The 14281-nt window shown below is 49.5% G+C and overlaps 1 protein-coding gene across 3 annotated transcripts in view, besides 4 other annotated features; it reads left to right on the top strand.

Annotated features, from left to right (window-relative positions):
• Positions 1–14281, top strand: part of ANXA6 (annexin A6) — a 57074-nt gene that overhangs the window by 22041 nt on the left and 20752 nt on the right. For all 3 annotated transcript variants that reach the window (NM_001363114.2, NM_001155.5, NM_001193544.2), the window contains 10 exons: positions 1256–1312; positions 2552–2645; positions 3168–3263; positions 4450–4508; positions 6210–6332; positions 7500–7558; positions 9259–9337; positions 11372–11453; positions 12728–12822; positions 13479–13592. In NM_001363114.2, coding sequence (NP_001350043.1) covers positions 1256–1312; positions 2552–2645; positions 3168–3263; positions 4450–4508; positions 6210–6332; positions 7500–7558; positions 9259–9337; positions 11372–11453; positions 12728–12822; positions 13479–13592 — 858 coding nt within the window. The remainder of the gene's footprint in view (positions 1–1255; positions 1313–2551; positions 2646–3167; positions 3264–4449; positions 4509–6209; positions 6333–7499; positions 7559–9258; positions 9338–11371; positions 11454–12727; positions 12823–13478; positions 13593–14281) is intronic.
• Positions 1093–1152: an enhancer, noted in NCBI's record as "active region_23441". NCBI's record gives its function as "activates an Ori minimal core promoter by ATAC-STARR-seq in GM12878 lymphoblastoid cells {active_cell/tissue: GM12878}" and the evidence as "EXISTENCE:reporter gene assay evidence [ECO:0000049][PMID:35858748]".
• Positions 1163–1262: an enhancer, noted in NCBI's record as "active region_23440". NCBI's record gives its function as "activates an Ori minimal core promoter by ATAC-STARR-seq in GM12878 lymphoblastoid cells {active_cell/tissue: GM12878}" and the evidence as "EXISTENCE:reporter gene assay evidence [ECO:0000049][PMID:35858748]".
• Positions 9426–9585: an enhancer, noted in NCBI's record as "active region_23439". NCBI's record gives its function as "activates an Ori minimal core promoter by ATAC-STARR-seq in GM12878 lymphoblastoid cells {active_cell/tissue: GM12878}" and the evidence as "EXISTENCE:reporter gene assay evidence [ECO:0000049][PMID:35858748]".
• Positions 11394–11894: an enhancer, noted in NCBI's record as "H3K4me1 hESC enhancer chr5:150503406-150503906 (GRCh37/hg19 assembly coordinates)". NCBI's record gives its function as "activates a minimal SCP1, AML or CMV promoter by ChIP-STARR-seq in naive H9 embryonic stem cells {active_cell/tissue: H9 hESC(naive)}" and the evidence as "EXISTENCE:reporter gene assay evidence [ECO:0000049][PMID:30033119]".

Raw genomic sequence — 14281 nt, 5'->3', positions numbered from 1 at the left:
CAAAAACCAGATTTCTGGATTATTTTAATGTATTGAAAGTTGCGGTAGCAGCAGACCTGCATTCTGCACGACTGCAGTGGGCTGGAGAGCATATGCGTCCTGCCCGTTTCACCGTGAATGTTATCTACCTGGCTCTGTAGGTATCTCTGTGACCACAGGCACGATGGGAACAGGCATTGAGATGTCTCAAGCTCAGCTCCAAGGACCAAATGGTTATGAAACTTTATATATAAATTAAGCCACCACTATGTTTCCTCGTTCCCCCATTTCCCTTTTATACCAGCTCCTCCCAACTCTGTTCCTCTCATTGCCATAACAATCCCATATTAACCAGCTGGGGAATGATCAGGAGAAACCTCAGGAGTGGGACAGTGTGACCTGTGCCCCATTTTCAAAGCTGCTTGTTCTGGAGAGGAGTGTCCTATCCCTGTATCTTGGAGTCAAGCGTTTTGTATCCTCAAGGTTTGACACCAAGCAGCAGCGCGGCACACATTGTAAGCTTGCCAGCTCTGTCTTCTGCTCAGTCCCAAAGAGAACCCTGGGGGTTTGAGATCCTGGAATGCACAATCCAGGGGGAAGAGGGGATGGCCATAGACCTCTCCAGGCCACCTGCAGACCTCTGCCCACGTAAGAAGGAGTTGAGTACTGCTCGCCCCTCTTCCCTTTGTGCATCCTCCTATGTGTAAGCTTCCTCTATCAGATGAGGCAAAGGGCATGGGCAGAACAACAGAAGCACCATTAGGATTTGGTGACTTTGTAGCTTGTGAGCTCAGATCTTGGGACCTGAGTCCCAAATCCTTATTGGTGAATTCTTTAAGTTAAGGTATAAGAGCTCCTAATAGAATGCAAATGTTCAGATCCTTTGCCCCTGTGGAATCGTTGCTGGAGGAGTGTCATGGGCCATGCAGGATCTGTGGCAGGGACCCTCGAGAACCTGGGGCCCTGTCCTCAGAGAGGTCCTCAGGGCAAGGCTCTGCCTACCTCTGGGCTGGGGACACCTGGAAGAACCTTGGTTGTTCTTGGGACTCTCCTGTGTGGACCCAGCCCTGACGAGGAAGGGAAAGGCCAGAGGGAGGGTCCCTTTTGATTGGCTCACAAAATAGATACTGTGGTCTTCATGCAATAGCAGTCACTGCTTCTGGACACATCTGGGCCACCAGGGTTTTCCTGCTTTCCCTGTCTCCACCACTGGCATCCAGGCCTCCCTCCTGACTTTGCAGTGTTTGAAACACATGTTCTTTGTCTTTCTGCCCAGGGAACCAGGGAGGAGGATGACGTAGTGAGCGAGGACCTGGTACAACAGGATGTCCAGGTAAACAAGCACCACTGAAAGTCCCTGAGGCACAGCAGAAGAGCCTTGGGAGGGGAGAGGTTGGGGCCCTGGGAAGGGCTGGAGGTGAAGTCATTTGCATCAAATACCAGAAATAACCCAGCCACAGCTGTCATGTATACCGGTGCTTTGTTGAAGAAAAGATATAAGTTATCTTTCAAAGGTATATCCCATATGTAATATTGGTATATTGGTGAGGTGTACTTTGGAGCTTTCTTTATTCATTCAGTTTTTAGATATTATTGAAGTAAAATACCTAGCATGTGCTAGGCACTCTGCCAAGCATTTAGAAATCACTAATGAACAAAATCAAGTGGTACCGGGAGAGACAGGCATACATTAATCACACAAACACCTTCTCTATCAATATACTGTACATTGCAGGTGTTTTGAGTACCCAGTACATGCCAGCAGCACTACAGGGGCTGATACAGAGAATGCTATGACATAGTCCCTGTTGTTGAGGAGCTCATGCAATAGTGTGGAGATAGACAGGTGAAGAAATCATTATCATATACAGTAGATCAAAGTGATAAAGAAGTAGAAAGCTATGGGAGCCTAGGAGAGGGAGGAAAGGAGGGAAATAGAACTGTGCCTGGGGGCATCGGGAAGTACTTTGAGAAAAAAATGGAATACTTAATCTGGGCCTTGAAGGTTGAGTAGGAGTTTCTCCAGAAAGAAAGGAAGAAAGGCATATAGGTATAGTCATGTACCACATAATGGTGTTTTGGTTAATGATGGACCACATATATGATGCTAGTCCCATAAGATTATGGACCAGATATGTGATGCTAGTCCTATAAGATTATAACCCCATATTTTCACTGTGCCTTTTCTATGATTATTTATGTTTGGATACACAAATTCTTGCCATTGTGTTGCAGTTGCCTACAGTATTCGGTAAGATAACACGCTGAACAGGTAGGTGTGCCGCCTAGGAGCAATAGGCTATACCACGGAGTCTGGGTGTGTAGTAGGCTATGCCATCTAGGTGTGTGCGAGTGCTCTATGATCACACAATGGCAAAGTCGCCTAACAATGGCAGTTCTCAGAATGTATCCCCATCATTAAATGATGCATGACTGTTTTATTTGCAAAGGTCTTCAGGCTACCAATTACTCGTGTGTTCAGGGATCAGGCAGCAGTTCTGAGTGGCTTGGTCAGTGTGTCCTGTCTCCTGAGGTTTCCTCTTTCAGTCAAGTGCCACCTCTTCCCCTTCAGGACCTATACGAGGCAGGGGAACTGAAATGGGGAACAGATGAAGCCCAGTTCATTTACATCTTGGGAAATCGCAGCAAGCAGCATCTTCGGTTGGGTAAGCTCCAGAGAAGACCTGAAGCTGCTCCCTTGGGTTGATGCCAATAATGCCTTTCTTTATCTCTTTTCTTTTCTTTACCACTAATGGAACATGATACCTACTTCATTCCCAACCCAAACTTTAGTCCTGAGTTTATTAGGTTGGTGCAAAAGTAACTGCGGTTTTTGCCGTTTTTAAAGGAATGGCAAAAACCGCAATTACTTTTGCACCAACCTAATATCAGACAGCAGTTTGTATAGTCCCTCAGCAAAGTCATTAACAGGATGCTTGGCCTTCCATCTCAGTGCCAGTCCTGTCTCCATGTTAGGGGATGAGACACAGTCTCTCACCAGCTATGAAGCTCATCTGCACAGCGCTGGTGATGTGCGTGACCTCCCAGTCGCCTCCATCATAGCACCAGCCCTAGCTTCATGGTGGACAGTCGTCCTGGCCACTGTGCCCCCCTGCTCTTGAAGTCCTCATTTCTTCTCGGGGGTACAGAGGCACTCTCAAACCTCCCTGTCTCTCTGTCTGACGCAGTGTTCGATGAGTATCTGAAGACCACAGGGAAGCCGATTGAAGCCAGCATCCGAGGGGAGCTGTCTGGGGACTTTGAGAAGCTAATGCTGGCCGTAGGTATGTCCTGACGTTGCATTCCTGGGGGCTTTAGGGGATTCTGGAACACTGGCCTAGGAACAAGGGGCTGAGAATGGAAAGGGGAATTACATGGTATAGAATTGGGAAGGAGAAAACCATGTGGGCCGTGAATTCTAAAGGTTTCTCCAGGGCAGCATGGCTGAGGCTGGGGACGGGAAGGGGGTTTGAGCCTCAGGTACTGACTTCCTCCAGCTCCCTTCTCCACCACTGGCAGGGGGACAAAGAGCTCTGAACTTGGGTTGAGGATAATGATGATCATAATAGTTGACTTTTGTTGAGCATCTAGTGCATGCCAGGCACTGTGCTGAGTGTGTAATCTTTAAAAAAGACCCAGCAGTGGCCACTGCCATGATCTCTATTTCACAGATGAGGAAACTGAGTCTCACCAGGCTGATCATTTCCTGAGGGGTAGTTTTGTAATGAGTTGGGGGTACTGAGAACGTGAGGATGTGAGGAACTGGCTAGTCAGTGGTGGAGCCAAGATTCAAACCAGGGCTTCTCCCACATGGGCTTGGAGCAAGTCACTTCTGCTTGCTGGACCTCAGTTTCCTCATCTGTTAAGTGGGGTGCAGGGTGTGGGGGCAGGAAGGATGGACTGCCTTAATTGCCTCCCCAGAAGCCCTTCCAATTCTGGCATTCCAGCAGTTAGCATGTCTGAGTCAGGGATATGTTGTGTGTTTGTATTTCTTGGGGGAAACCTGCAGCTCCTTTATCGTCCCTCCCAGAGCCATCCCCTGCCCTCCCTGTTTGAAGTAGTCAGCCAGTGGGACTCACGGTGATTCAGTGGGATTCACAATGATTCAGCTGCCAGTACCTTTCTGGTGTAGCAGGTCTAAAAAACACCTTTTCCTCCTTCGCCCCAGACCCTACCCCCACCCCAGCTCAATTCCCTGTTAAAACCAAAAGGACTAGAAAGATAAAGGCGGTCTTTGTGATGGACTTCAAAAGGATTATTTCAACAAGATTATTTCCTGTTTATTCCCTGGGTGTGCGGTAAAAGTGGGTTGGTCTGGGGTGATCTGGGGCTGTGAGCTATCAGGAACGGTGGTTCTTCCTGTATTGAGCTAGGTGGCCCTCAAGGAATAGAAACAAAGAGGGAGTCAGGCCATCCCATCCCCCTTCTGAGGCAGCCAGAATAACTCTACCTCTTCCTCCCTCTTCACAGTGAAGTGTATCCGGAGCACCCCGGAATATTTTGCTGAAAGGCTCTTCAAGGCTATGAAGGTGCGTGGTGGGGCTGATGTGAATGGGGTTTGGGGAGAGGACTATTGGGAGTCTTTGACAAGTCCTTGGGATCCAGTGGCCAAAGAGAGCCCTTCAGGGATGGCCACAGGACTGACCCTGGTGAAGGTGCTCTGTCGCAGGTGAGCTGTAGAGCCAGGAATGCTGCTGGTCACATGTCCTGCCACCTGCATACCTGCCTGACGTCATGAGTCAACAGATGAACTTAGGGTGGCAGCCTGCACCTGATCCCTCCAGCCAAATGGGTTGGCGGCTCGGACTTTGAAGAAGTATTAACCAGAATGTTTTTATACAGCGTATGTAGGCAAGACCACTTTGGCCTTGCCTGCTAAGACTCATGATGCTCACCCTGTGACAGTTCCACTCTGGGTGTGTTTCTGAGAAAGCTTCCCAGGCTTTTACACATATGACGCACAAAGAAACTGGTATTTTTGTGATGCACTGGAGGAAATGAATGCAGTTATTTGCTGCCAGAGGCCTGAGGCCCGAGACACAGGAGCTTGGGCCTTTCTGGCCCTGGTTGGCCATTCCGAAAGGACAAAGTAGACTGTCGGCCATTCTCTGCCCACCAGTGTGCCATAATGAGGTTGGGCAGCTCAGCCCTAGAGAGATGTTTGCCTGTATGCATGAATTCATTAAGAATGCCCATCACAAGGCTGAGTGCATGCAGTGGCTCACACCTATGATCCCAGCACTCTGGGAGGCCAAAGTGGGAGGATCACTTGAGGCCCAAAGTTCAAGACCAGCCTGGGCAACATAGTAAGACCCTTGTCTCTACAAAAATAACAAATAGAACTAGCCAGGGACTGTGGCACATACCTGTAGTCCTAACTACTCGGGAGGCTGAGGCAGGAGGATTTCTTGAGCACAGGGCCCCTGGGTTTGAGGCTTCAGTGAACGCAGTGCTATGTGATCACGCCACTGTACTCTAGCCTGGACAACAGAGTGAGACCCTGCCTCTTCAAAAAAAAAAGAAAAAGAAAAAAAAAACTTATAACAGTATTGCTTATATTAGGAAAAAGCTAGAAACAACCCAGTGACCATCAGGAATAGTACAGCAAAAACCTAAATGCACAGTGGTATATTTGCAGAGTTCCAAAATGTGTAAATCTAAGTGTATTGCTTAGAGTTACAAAGCTATGGTAAAATTATAAGGAAAATCAAGTGTGGAAATTATACATGAAGAGAGAAGAGGTTTATAACAGTGAGAGGGCCGGGCATGGTGGCTCATGTGTGTAATCGTAGCATTTTGGGAGGCCAAGGCAGCCCTTGAGGCCAGTTCAAGACCAGCCTGGCCAACATGGCAAAACCCCATCTCTACTAAAAATACAAAAATTAGCCAGGCGTAGTGGTGGGTACCTGTACTCCCAGCTGCTCAGGAAGCTGAGGCAGGAGAATTGCTTGAGTCTGGAAGGCAGAGGTTGTAGTGAGCTGAGATCGTACCACTGCACTCCAGCCTGGACAAGAGTGAGACACTGTCTCAGAAACAAACAAACAAACAAACAAACAAACAAAACAGTAAGAGGAGCATAGAGAGAGCTTCAATGGGAATGGCAATGTCTGCTTCTTTTGCTCTAAATTTTAACTTTTTATTATGAAAATAGGATTTTCAACTAAGCTGGGAGCTATCAGCACTCTAGCCTCCTCTCAAGTCCATGTTCCCCAAACCCACTTGTCTTGCAGGGCCTGGGGACTCGGGACAACACCCTGATCCGCATCATGGTCTCCCGTAGTGAGTTGGACATGCTCGACATTCGGGAGATCTTCCGGACCAAGTATGAGAAGTCCCTCTACAGCATGATCAAGGTCAGCAGAGCTCATGGGGGCAGAGAAGGGAGCAAAGAGCTTTTTGCCAAGACAGAGGGCTTGGGGACTATTCCCAGGAAAAGGAAATGTCCTAGGAAGTGGGAGTCTCTTGGACATTCCAGGAGCTCCTGCCTTGTGGCTCATTCAAGGAATTTAAGGATATTCAACAGAAAAGCAAGTGTTAGGGGTGTTTGTGAGTGGTAAGGCTACAGAAGGAGGCAGGGGCTGGGTCATGAAGGACACGCAAGCTGAATTAAGTGCGAGGACTCTGCCCCAAGGGCAGTGATAGTTCAGTCTCCTGGAAGAAGGCTGGGAAACACTGAAGAACACAAATGAGGGTTAAAGGGGAACCTTTGGCCTGGGCCGGGTGATTGGTGATGACTCTGGGACATCCGGCCCCTGAGGCTTTATCAGGAGACATATGTAAAGCTAGGGGTTTTCCCTTTTTTTTTTTTTTTTTGGATGACTGAAATAAAACTTTATGGGGTGACAGAGAAAGAGATCCAAGTTGTATTCTCCAAAGTATGTTTCCAAAGGGTAATTTTTTTAGGTGTTATGTGCAAAATGTTCTATGGGAAAATAAGTTTGTAACAAACCACAATAAGCAAAGATAAATAAGCCAGTTTCTTTACCTCAGAACTTCTCACAGCCTTTCACATTTTGAAGTCCATTATGAAGCCCCAAGAGGGATATGGAATATGCATCTATACGGATATGTGCATCTGTGTAATATATATTTGTTTGATTTTTTTGCATTTCCCAATATTTTTGCTCATGGAACCCCATTTCCATGCATATTTCATGTGGAAGGACTGGGCTGGGGACTGTCTGGTGGCAGTGCTGTGCTGGGGCACTGGCTTGAAAGGGCAGCGAGCATCTCTTCTCAACTCCGCATATTGGTAGCAAAGTCATATTGGTAACTTGAAATTGTCCATTGCTAGAAGTATTTACACCACAGAAATAGGCAAATGCTATAAATTAGGGCTTCCTCCAACCTGCCCGCTGAGAACCAGTTATTCAATATTAACCAGCACAGGAGGGCCAGGGCTGCTATGAATAAGTGTTCATTCAGCCTTCCCCTCTTTCAGGCTGTGCAGAACCTTCACCTCCTTGTCTGAGAGGAGCCCAGGGCTGGGTGAGAGGTAACCTTTCTTTCTTTCTCTTCAGAATGACACCTCTGGCGAGTACAAGAAGACTCTGCTGAAGCTGTCTGGGGGAGATGATGAGTAAGTGGCTTCTTGGCCCCTGGCTGGAGGGCATGGCCTTGGGGTGCCAGGCGGGGACTCTCCTGGCTCGCATCCTGATGGGTGGATTGGATGAGCTGGGGATTCCCCTGAGCCAGGAGCGTCGCACAAGTGAAAGGCGGCTTTTGCTGGTAGCTGCTGTGCTTGTGGGTCTGTGTGTCTGAGAGTGTGGGGGTCTGAACGTGAGCGTGGTCTCCTGTATATGGAGATGTCTGCTCTTGTGAACTTGGAAAGTCAGTCTGGGGTTGTGGACTAGGAACCAGAATATGAGCATCCAATCCCTGCTATTTCATAGCCATTTCTCGGTTTCATCACCTGTTAAATGGGAAAAGGACACATTCCTGCTCTGCCTACTCATTTATGCAGCATATTTGTGTTAAGTGCCTTCTGGGTGCAGACCCTGTGAGGAAGCCCCTGATGAAGGCCACAGCGCAGAAGGGTATAGACCAGTTTCCAGAAGGGAGCAGTCCTGTGCTGGGGAGAACTGGCTGTGCCACATAGAAAGCATATATAAAAGCACACAGAGATGCCCTAGCCCAGACCAAGGGGAGACTCTTTGGAGATACACGGTGAGACCCAAGGAGGAAGGGGAAGAGCCAGGTGAAGAGGGTCTGGGGACAGTGTTTGGGTGGAGGAAATCACCTATAGAAAAGCCGAGGAGTGAGAAGGAGTGGCCTGATTCATTCATATGTCCGAAGTCATGCATTTATGGAGTACTAGAGAGAGAAATAAGGCAGAGAAGTGGGAGGGCCTGGGGGCCTCTTCCCAGAATGTTAAATTGGGACATTACTTGACCAGATTTGTGTTTGAGAAAGGGAACAGGCTGCGCTCTGATTTCCTTTCTCTGGATCTTATAAAGATCCAATTACAGAAGGGATGCAAGAATTTCCTGTGAACCTTTGGTAAGGACCATAGGGGTTGATGCAGTTCAGCAGATATTACTGAGCTCCTGATGCATCCAGGCACTTTGCAGGAGGAGATGCAGGGCTGGCATGGCCATAGCTTGCTCAATGGCCTCTTTGAGAGGGGAGAGTTGGATAGAAGCCATTCAAATTCTAAGGAAGAAAGGGGAGGCTGAAGGATTGGAAAAATCCTATCCTGCTTGGACTCTGCAGCCAGGAAGGCTGCCCTTAAAAGCCAGCATTGGCCGGACACAGTGGCTCAGCGCCTGTAATCCCAGCACTTTGGGAGGCTGAGGCGGGCGGATCACCTGAGGTCAGGAGTTCAAGACCAGCCTGGCCAACATGGCGAAACCCCATCTCTACTAAAAATACAAGAATTAGCCAGGCGTGATGGCGGGTGCCTGTAATCCTAGCTACTTGGGAGACTGAGGCAGGAGAATCGCTTGAACCTGGGAGGCAGAGGTTGCAGTGAGCTGAGATCGAGCCACTGCACCCCAGCCTGGGTGACAAGAGCAAAACTCCGTCTCAAATAAAAATAAAAAATAAAAAAGGCAGCATTGCAGGGGGTCTCAAGAGATGGAAGGTTCTCAGAAATGGAGGGAGGACTCTGGCGAATGGAGGAGGCATAGGCTGGAGAGAAAGAAAGCTTAATGTGTGTGTGGTGTGTGCACGTGTGTGTATGTGTTGGGGTGTGTGTGTGTGTGTGTGTGTGTGTGTTGGTGTGAGTGTTGCCCATGATGACATTCCTTCCTGTCCTCTCCCTAAACCCCTCCATTCCAGTGCTGCTGGCCAGTTCTTCCCGGAGGCAGCGCAGGTGGCCTATCAGATGTGGGAACTTAGTGCAGTGGCCCGAGTAGAGGTCAGACCTTCCCCTCCTCCTGCTTGACCTCTTGACCACAGCTTCTCTGCTTGCACCTTCCTGCTGCTCTGGTTGGCACCCAGCTGCCCCCTGGCGGCCAACCCGACACGTTGATTCTCACATCTGAAGCTTCCTTTTCTCCCTTGGAGTGGTGAACTGGTGGAGGGGCGCACCTGGTTTCTGCATTAGCTTCTGACACGCTGGAAAGGGTTCTGGCCCACTTACTAACAGGGCTTGCTGAAATGGAGACCTGGCTGGTTCCATGGAGGGGCCTGTCCCGTCTGGAGTCGAAACAGTTGGCCTCAGAGACATGAAAGCTGAGAACAGATGGGCATCCCTGGGTGCACTGGAGGATTTCAGGTTGTCCTCCTGAGCATCCTCAGACTGGGGGTCCACAAAGGACAGGAATGAAAGGTTTCACTAAAGTACTTTAGGCAAACCATTCCAGAGACTGCAACACTTGGTCCACACAAAAAAGCATGGGACCTTGGAGCTCTCTGTTACTTATTCGCTATGTAACCTTTGGAAGGTGCCCCCTCCCTCTGGGCCTCTATGTCTCCATCTTTAAAGTGAGGGGTTAACATGGCAATCTCGGTGATCTCTTAGGGCTCTTGAGCTCTGATGTTCTAGGACAGTGTTCCCCAAATGATAAGGCAAGAGATCTTTGCAGATGATTGTAGGTGATGTGAGAAGTGAATTTAGTTTGGCAGGGTTGAATAACGCTGAACTCCACAGAGTGAATGAGAAAGGCACTCCTTTCCAATTTCATCAGCGTTTCTGATTACGTCAAAGAGGAAGTCTTGGTTTGGTGCCGCCGTCTCTGCAACACTTGCTGATTTTCCTTTTTCACAAAGAGAAAGCTGAGAGAGCTCGCTTTAAGTTTCAGAGCTTCTGGCAAGTAGAGGCATCATGTTAAATTTCATGGTATATCACCTCTTTTGTTTTTATTATGTTGATTTTTGTGGTAAATTGTCAGTTTATGATACATGGTATCAACTTCCTAATTCATGGTAGTTATATAAAATTAATTTCATCCATTCCTTTTTTTTTTTTTTTTTTTGAGACAGGGTCTCACTCTGTTATCCAGGCTGGAGTACAGTGGCATGATCATGGCTCACTGCCACCTCCCCAGGCTCAGGTGATCCTTCCACTTAGCTTCCCAAGTAGCTGGGACCTCAGGTGGACACCACCACACCTGGCTAATTTGTGTAGAGACAGGGTTTCACCATGTTGCCTGGGCTCATCTTGAACCAATGGGCTCAAGCGATCCTCCTGCCTTGGCCTCCCAAAGTGCTGAGATTACAGGCATGAGCCATTGTGCCAAGCCTCATTAATCCACTTAACAATTATTTTTTGAGTGTGCCTATTATGTCAGACACTGTTGTAGGCACCTGGGATATGTAACAGGATAAAACGGATACAATTCCTTGCCTTTTGGGAGTAATTTTAAATGCACTTCAAAAATTGATGCATTTAAGTAGACAGAAAAGAAGTTGAATTACATAAAACCATTAAGAGATGGCATAGTGTGTGTGCTAATTTGGAATAGTGAAAGTCCTTTAGGAGTGACTGAAATTTGGGAAACTCTGTTCTGGTATTTCAGAACTTTTCTGCTGCCTTTTCAGGGGGAATGACTCTTTAAGAGGCAGAGGGGGCCTCGGGGGCAGGGTAGGATTCAGAAGAATTGGGGATGCCCCGGTGGAATAAGCAGCCAAGGGGCACTAGAACCGAGGCAGATCCCGTGGCAGGCGGGAGCCTAGCCAATTTCTCTTGATCAGGACTTGCCCTGCTCCCAGCCCTGAGTCCCTCTCTCCCTCTCTCTATATCTTTCTGTCTCTTTCTCTCTCTCTCTCTCTCTCTCTCTCAGCTCTCGTGCAGGGTCTGTCTGCTGTGGCTTCACCTCTGCCTCTTTCCCCACCCACGCCGCTTGGTTTGGGCTCATGGGGTGAGCTTCCCACCCTCGCATGCTGTCTTTCAGCCTGGTCCCCAGGGGGGCCTTCAGACACCTGCTGAGTCTCTTTCTGCTTCTCACAGCTGAAGGGAACTGTGCGCCCAGCCAATGACTTCAACCCTGACGCAGATGCCAAAGCGCTGCGGAAAGCCATGAAGGGACTCGGTATGGGGGATGGGAAGGGAGCAGGGTTGGTCTCCAGGGCAGCAGGTGTGGTGGGTTTGGCCGTGGGCTGGCAGGGGATGGAGTGAGGTTTCAAATTAGAGTCTGCAGGATGAGGAAGGCTTGATCTCAAGTTTCCACCCTCCTAGCTCCCAGAGTATAGAGAGGAGGGGCAGGAGAGGGTTCATAAGGAACTTGGCAGAAGCCCTTTCCAGGGACCAAGGTGTCCCCCAGCCTCCTGGAAGCAGTATCCTGGCACTGAAGAAAGTACCAGGTCACAAAATTGGCATGGTGCCCTGGCTCTGCTGCTGACTCACCGTGTGACTCTGGGTGAGCCTCTCCGCCACTCTGGGTCTGAATTTCCCTATGTGTAAAATCAGGGCTGTGGACCCTGGAACCCAAGAGCCCTCCCTCATTCTGTGGTGGGAGTGTGCCCTGCTGGGCAGGTCTTTCAGACCTATATTTGGCACCAGTGGGAAGAGTACTGCACCCACAGGTTCAGATCAGCTGGGCCTGTGCTCAGAAAGTCCAGCCTGGGACAGGCCATCTAGGGTTTGGCTTTCTTTGCCTTTCTGCCCCATCTGTCTGACAGCAACTCCCAGGAGGCTTTAGGTTAAGTCCATCACCCTCCTGAGCCTCCTTTCCATGTGTCTCATGGGAATGATGATACCTGCCAAGCTCGCCTGGGACTGTAGGATGCTAGAGGTAAAAATGCCATGAAAGACCCCTGTGCTGGGTCTGTGGTTGATGGCATTAATCTGAGAAGCAGGAAGTGATATTCTAATGCCTTCCAGAGTCAACCTGCTGTGGTTAGAGGGACTCAGGGTCCAGCTTCCAGAGAGCTGAAGAGAAAGGACATAGAGTTGCTAACAGGACTTGGACTGTCAGGGTTGGAAGGATCCCTTGGTGACTACTCCAGCCTCTTCATGTTACAGATGTGGAAACCAAGTCCCATCAAGGGAAGGGGACTTGCCCAGGGTGGGCAGCCATTGCCAGAGCCAGAACTAGAACTCAGAGGCACTGACTCCCAACCCAGTGCTCTCTACCTCCCAGCTGTCCTTTTTCCTCAGCGTGTCAAAAGGAAAGGGAGGGAGGAGTCCAGCAGAAATCAGTGGCCTGAGCCATAGGCAAGCGGACTGCAGGGACTCAGGAGCACATGGCCGCTTAGCCAGGCTTCTACCCTGACAAAGATCGATGAGGGGCCATCAGTGGGCGGTGCATGGGGAAAGCCGAGAGCCACAGGCCTTCTTCTGAGGCATGTGGCTTTGGTGACTCAGGGACTGACGAAGACACAATCATCGATATCATCACGCACCGCAGCAATGTCCAGCGGCAGCAGATCCGGCAGACCTTCAAGTCTCACTTTGGCCGGGTAAGGACCTCCTCCTGGGCTCTCTGTGCAACATGCATGCACCTTGCCTGATTGAGCTCAGCCTGTCCCCATCGGTTCTGCACAGTTGGGCACCAGGGTCTTCATGGCAGAGGGACCCTGTGTGGTCATATGATCTCAGAGTGTCTCCAGCACTGGGTTTGGGCAGACATATCTTTCCATGCCCCCAGTTCCTTGTGATGGGCAACACTTGTGTGAGTTGCTCAGTGGACTCAGAGGCACAGCATGGGGCCAAGATCAGGGCTATGAGTTGTTTTCAGTGTGCTTTGGGCATCTTGCAATTCCTCTGCACAGACAGAGCTGGCTTCAAGGCCCCAACTGAGTGTCAGGGATTATTGCACATTGGTGGCATCTGGCTTAGGTTGATGCATTTCCCCCTGAGTGGAAACAGTGTCCTTCAGCTCTGCTGCCTTCCCGTTCCTGTCTCCTGTGTCAAGGAGAGTGGGTCTTCCTCCTGGTTGTTTTTTCCCTACCCTCTTTGGCTTCATCTAAATAATAAGTACAACATCAGCAAAGACAGACACAAGCTTCCATGATCCCTCATGTGGAACCCCTGTTTTCTCTTTCCATCTCTCCCATCCTGAGTCATGTGTGGGCAAGTGCTGATGTTGGCATGACTGTGGCTCTGCCCTTTGCAGGACTTAATGACTGACCTGAAGTCTGAGATCTCTGGAGACCTGGCAAGGCTGATTCTGGGGCTCATGATGCCACCGGCCCATTACGATGCCAAGCAGTTGAAGAAGGCCATGGAGGTACAGTGTGGCACCAGGGGGTCTAGTGTCTGCGGGTGCCAATAGGGATACAGGTGATCCTCATAAGCCCAGGTGGATTAGCTGTAACTTCTTGGTAGAACTCCTCCCATACTCAGTTCAAACTGGCATAAACACAAAAGGAGATGTTGGCTCCTATAACTGAAAACTACAGGACTAGCTCTGAGTCCAGAGACTCAAATGATGTTCTGTGGACCCTTGGCTCACCCCTGTCTTGGCTCTGCTGTCCTCCCTTCTGGCTTCACTCTCAGGCAGCCTTTCTCCTCATGGTGGCATATGTCCATCCCGCCAGCTAGCGGCTCCAGCAGAAAGAGTTCCTTCTTCCTAGGAGCTCCAACAACAGGCTTGGCATTTACTCCAAGTTGATTCAGCTTAAGTCACATGCCCACTGGTGTCAGAAGGGTCTCATGGAGCCGCTGGAGGAAGTGGGGTGGGTCTCGAACGAAAGCACCAGCAGTTGGAGTCTGTACTCCAGCCTAGACCTGCCACTCACTCACAGTGTGACTGGGCCATTCCTTACACTTCCCAATCCTCTGTGCCTTCATCTGGGAAATGGAAATGGTCACCTCTGCCCTTCAAACTAGGACAGGTCAATCAAGGTCACAGGTATGAAGGGCATTGTTAACTCCGAAGACCTGACCCTACATTAAACAAGAAAGCATTATGTCCTG

The sequence above is a fragment of the Homo sapiens genome, chromosome 5 (assembly GCF_000001405.40).
Source record: "Homo sapiens chromosome 5, GRCh38.p14 Primary Assembly".
Taxonomy (NCBI): Eukaryota; Metazoa; Chordata; class Mammalia; order Primates; family Hominidae; genus Homo; species Homo sapiens.
Note: the sequence above shows the minus strand (reverse complement) of the source record. Positions and strands in the feature narration are given on the sequence as shown.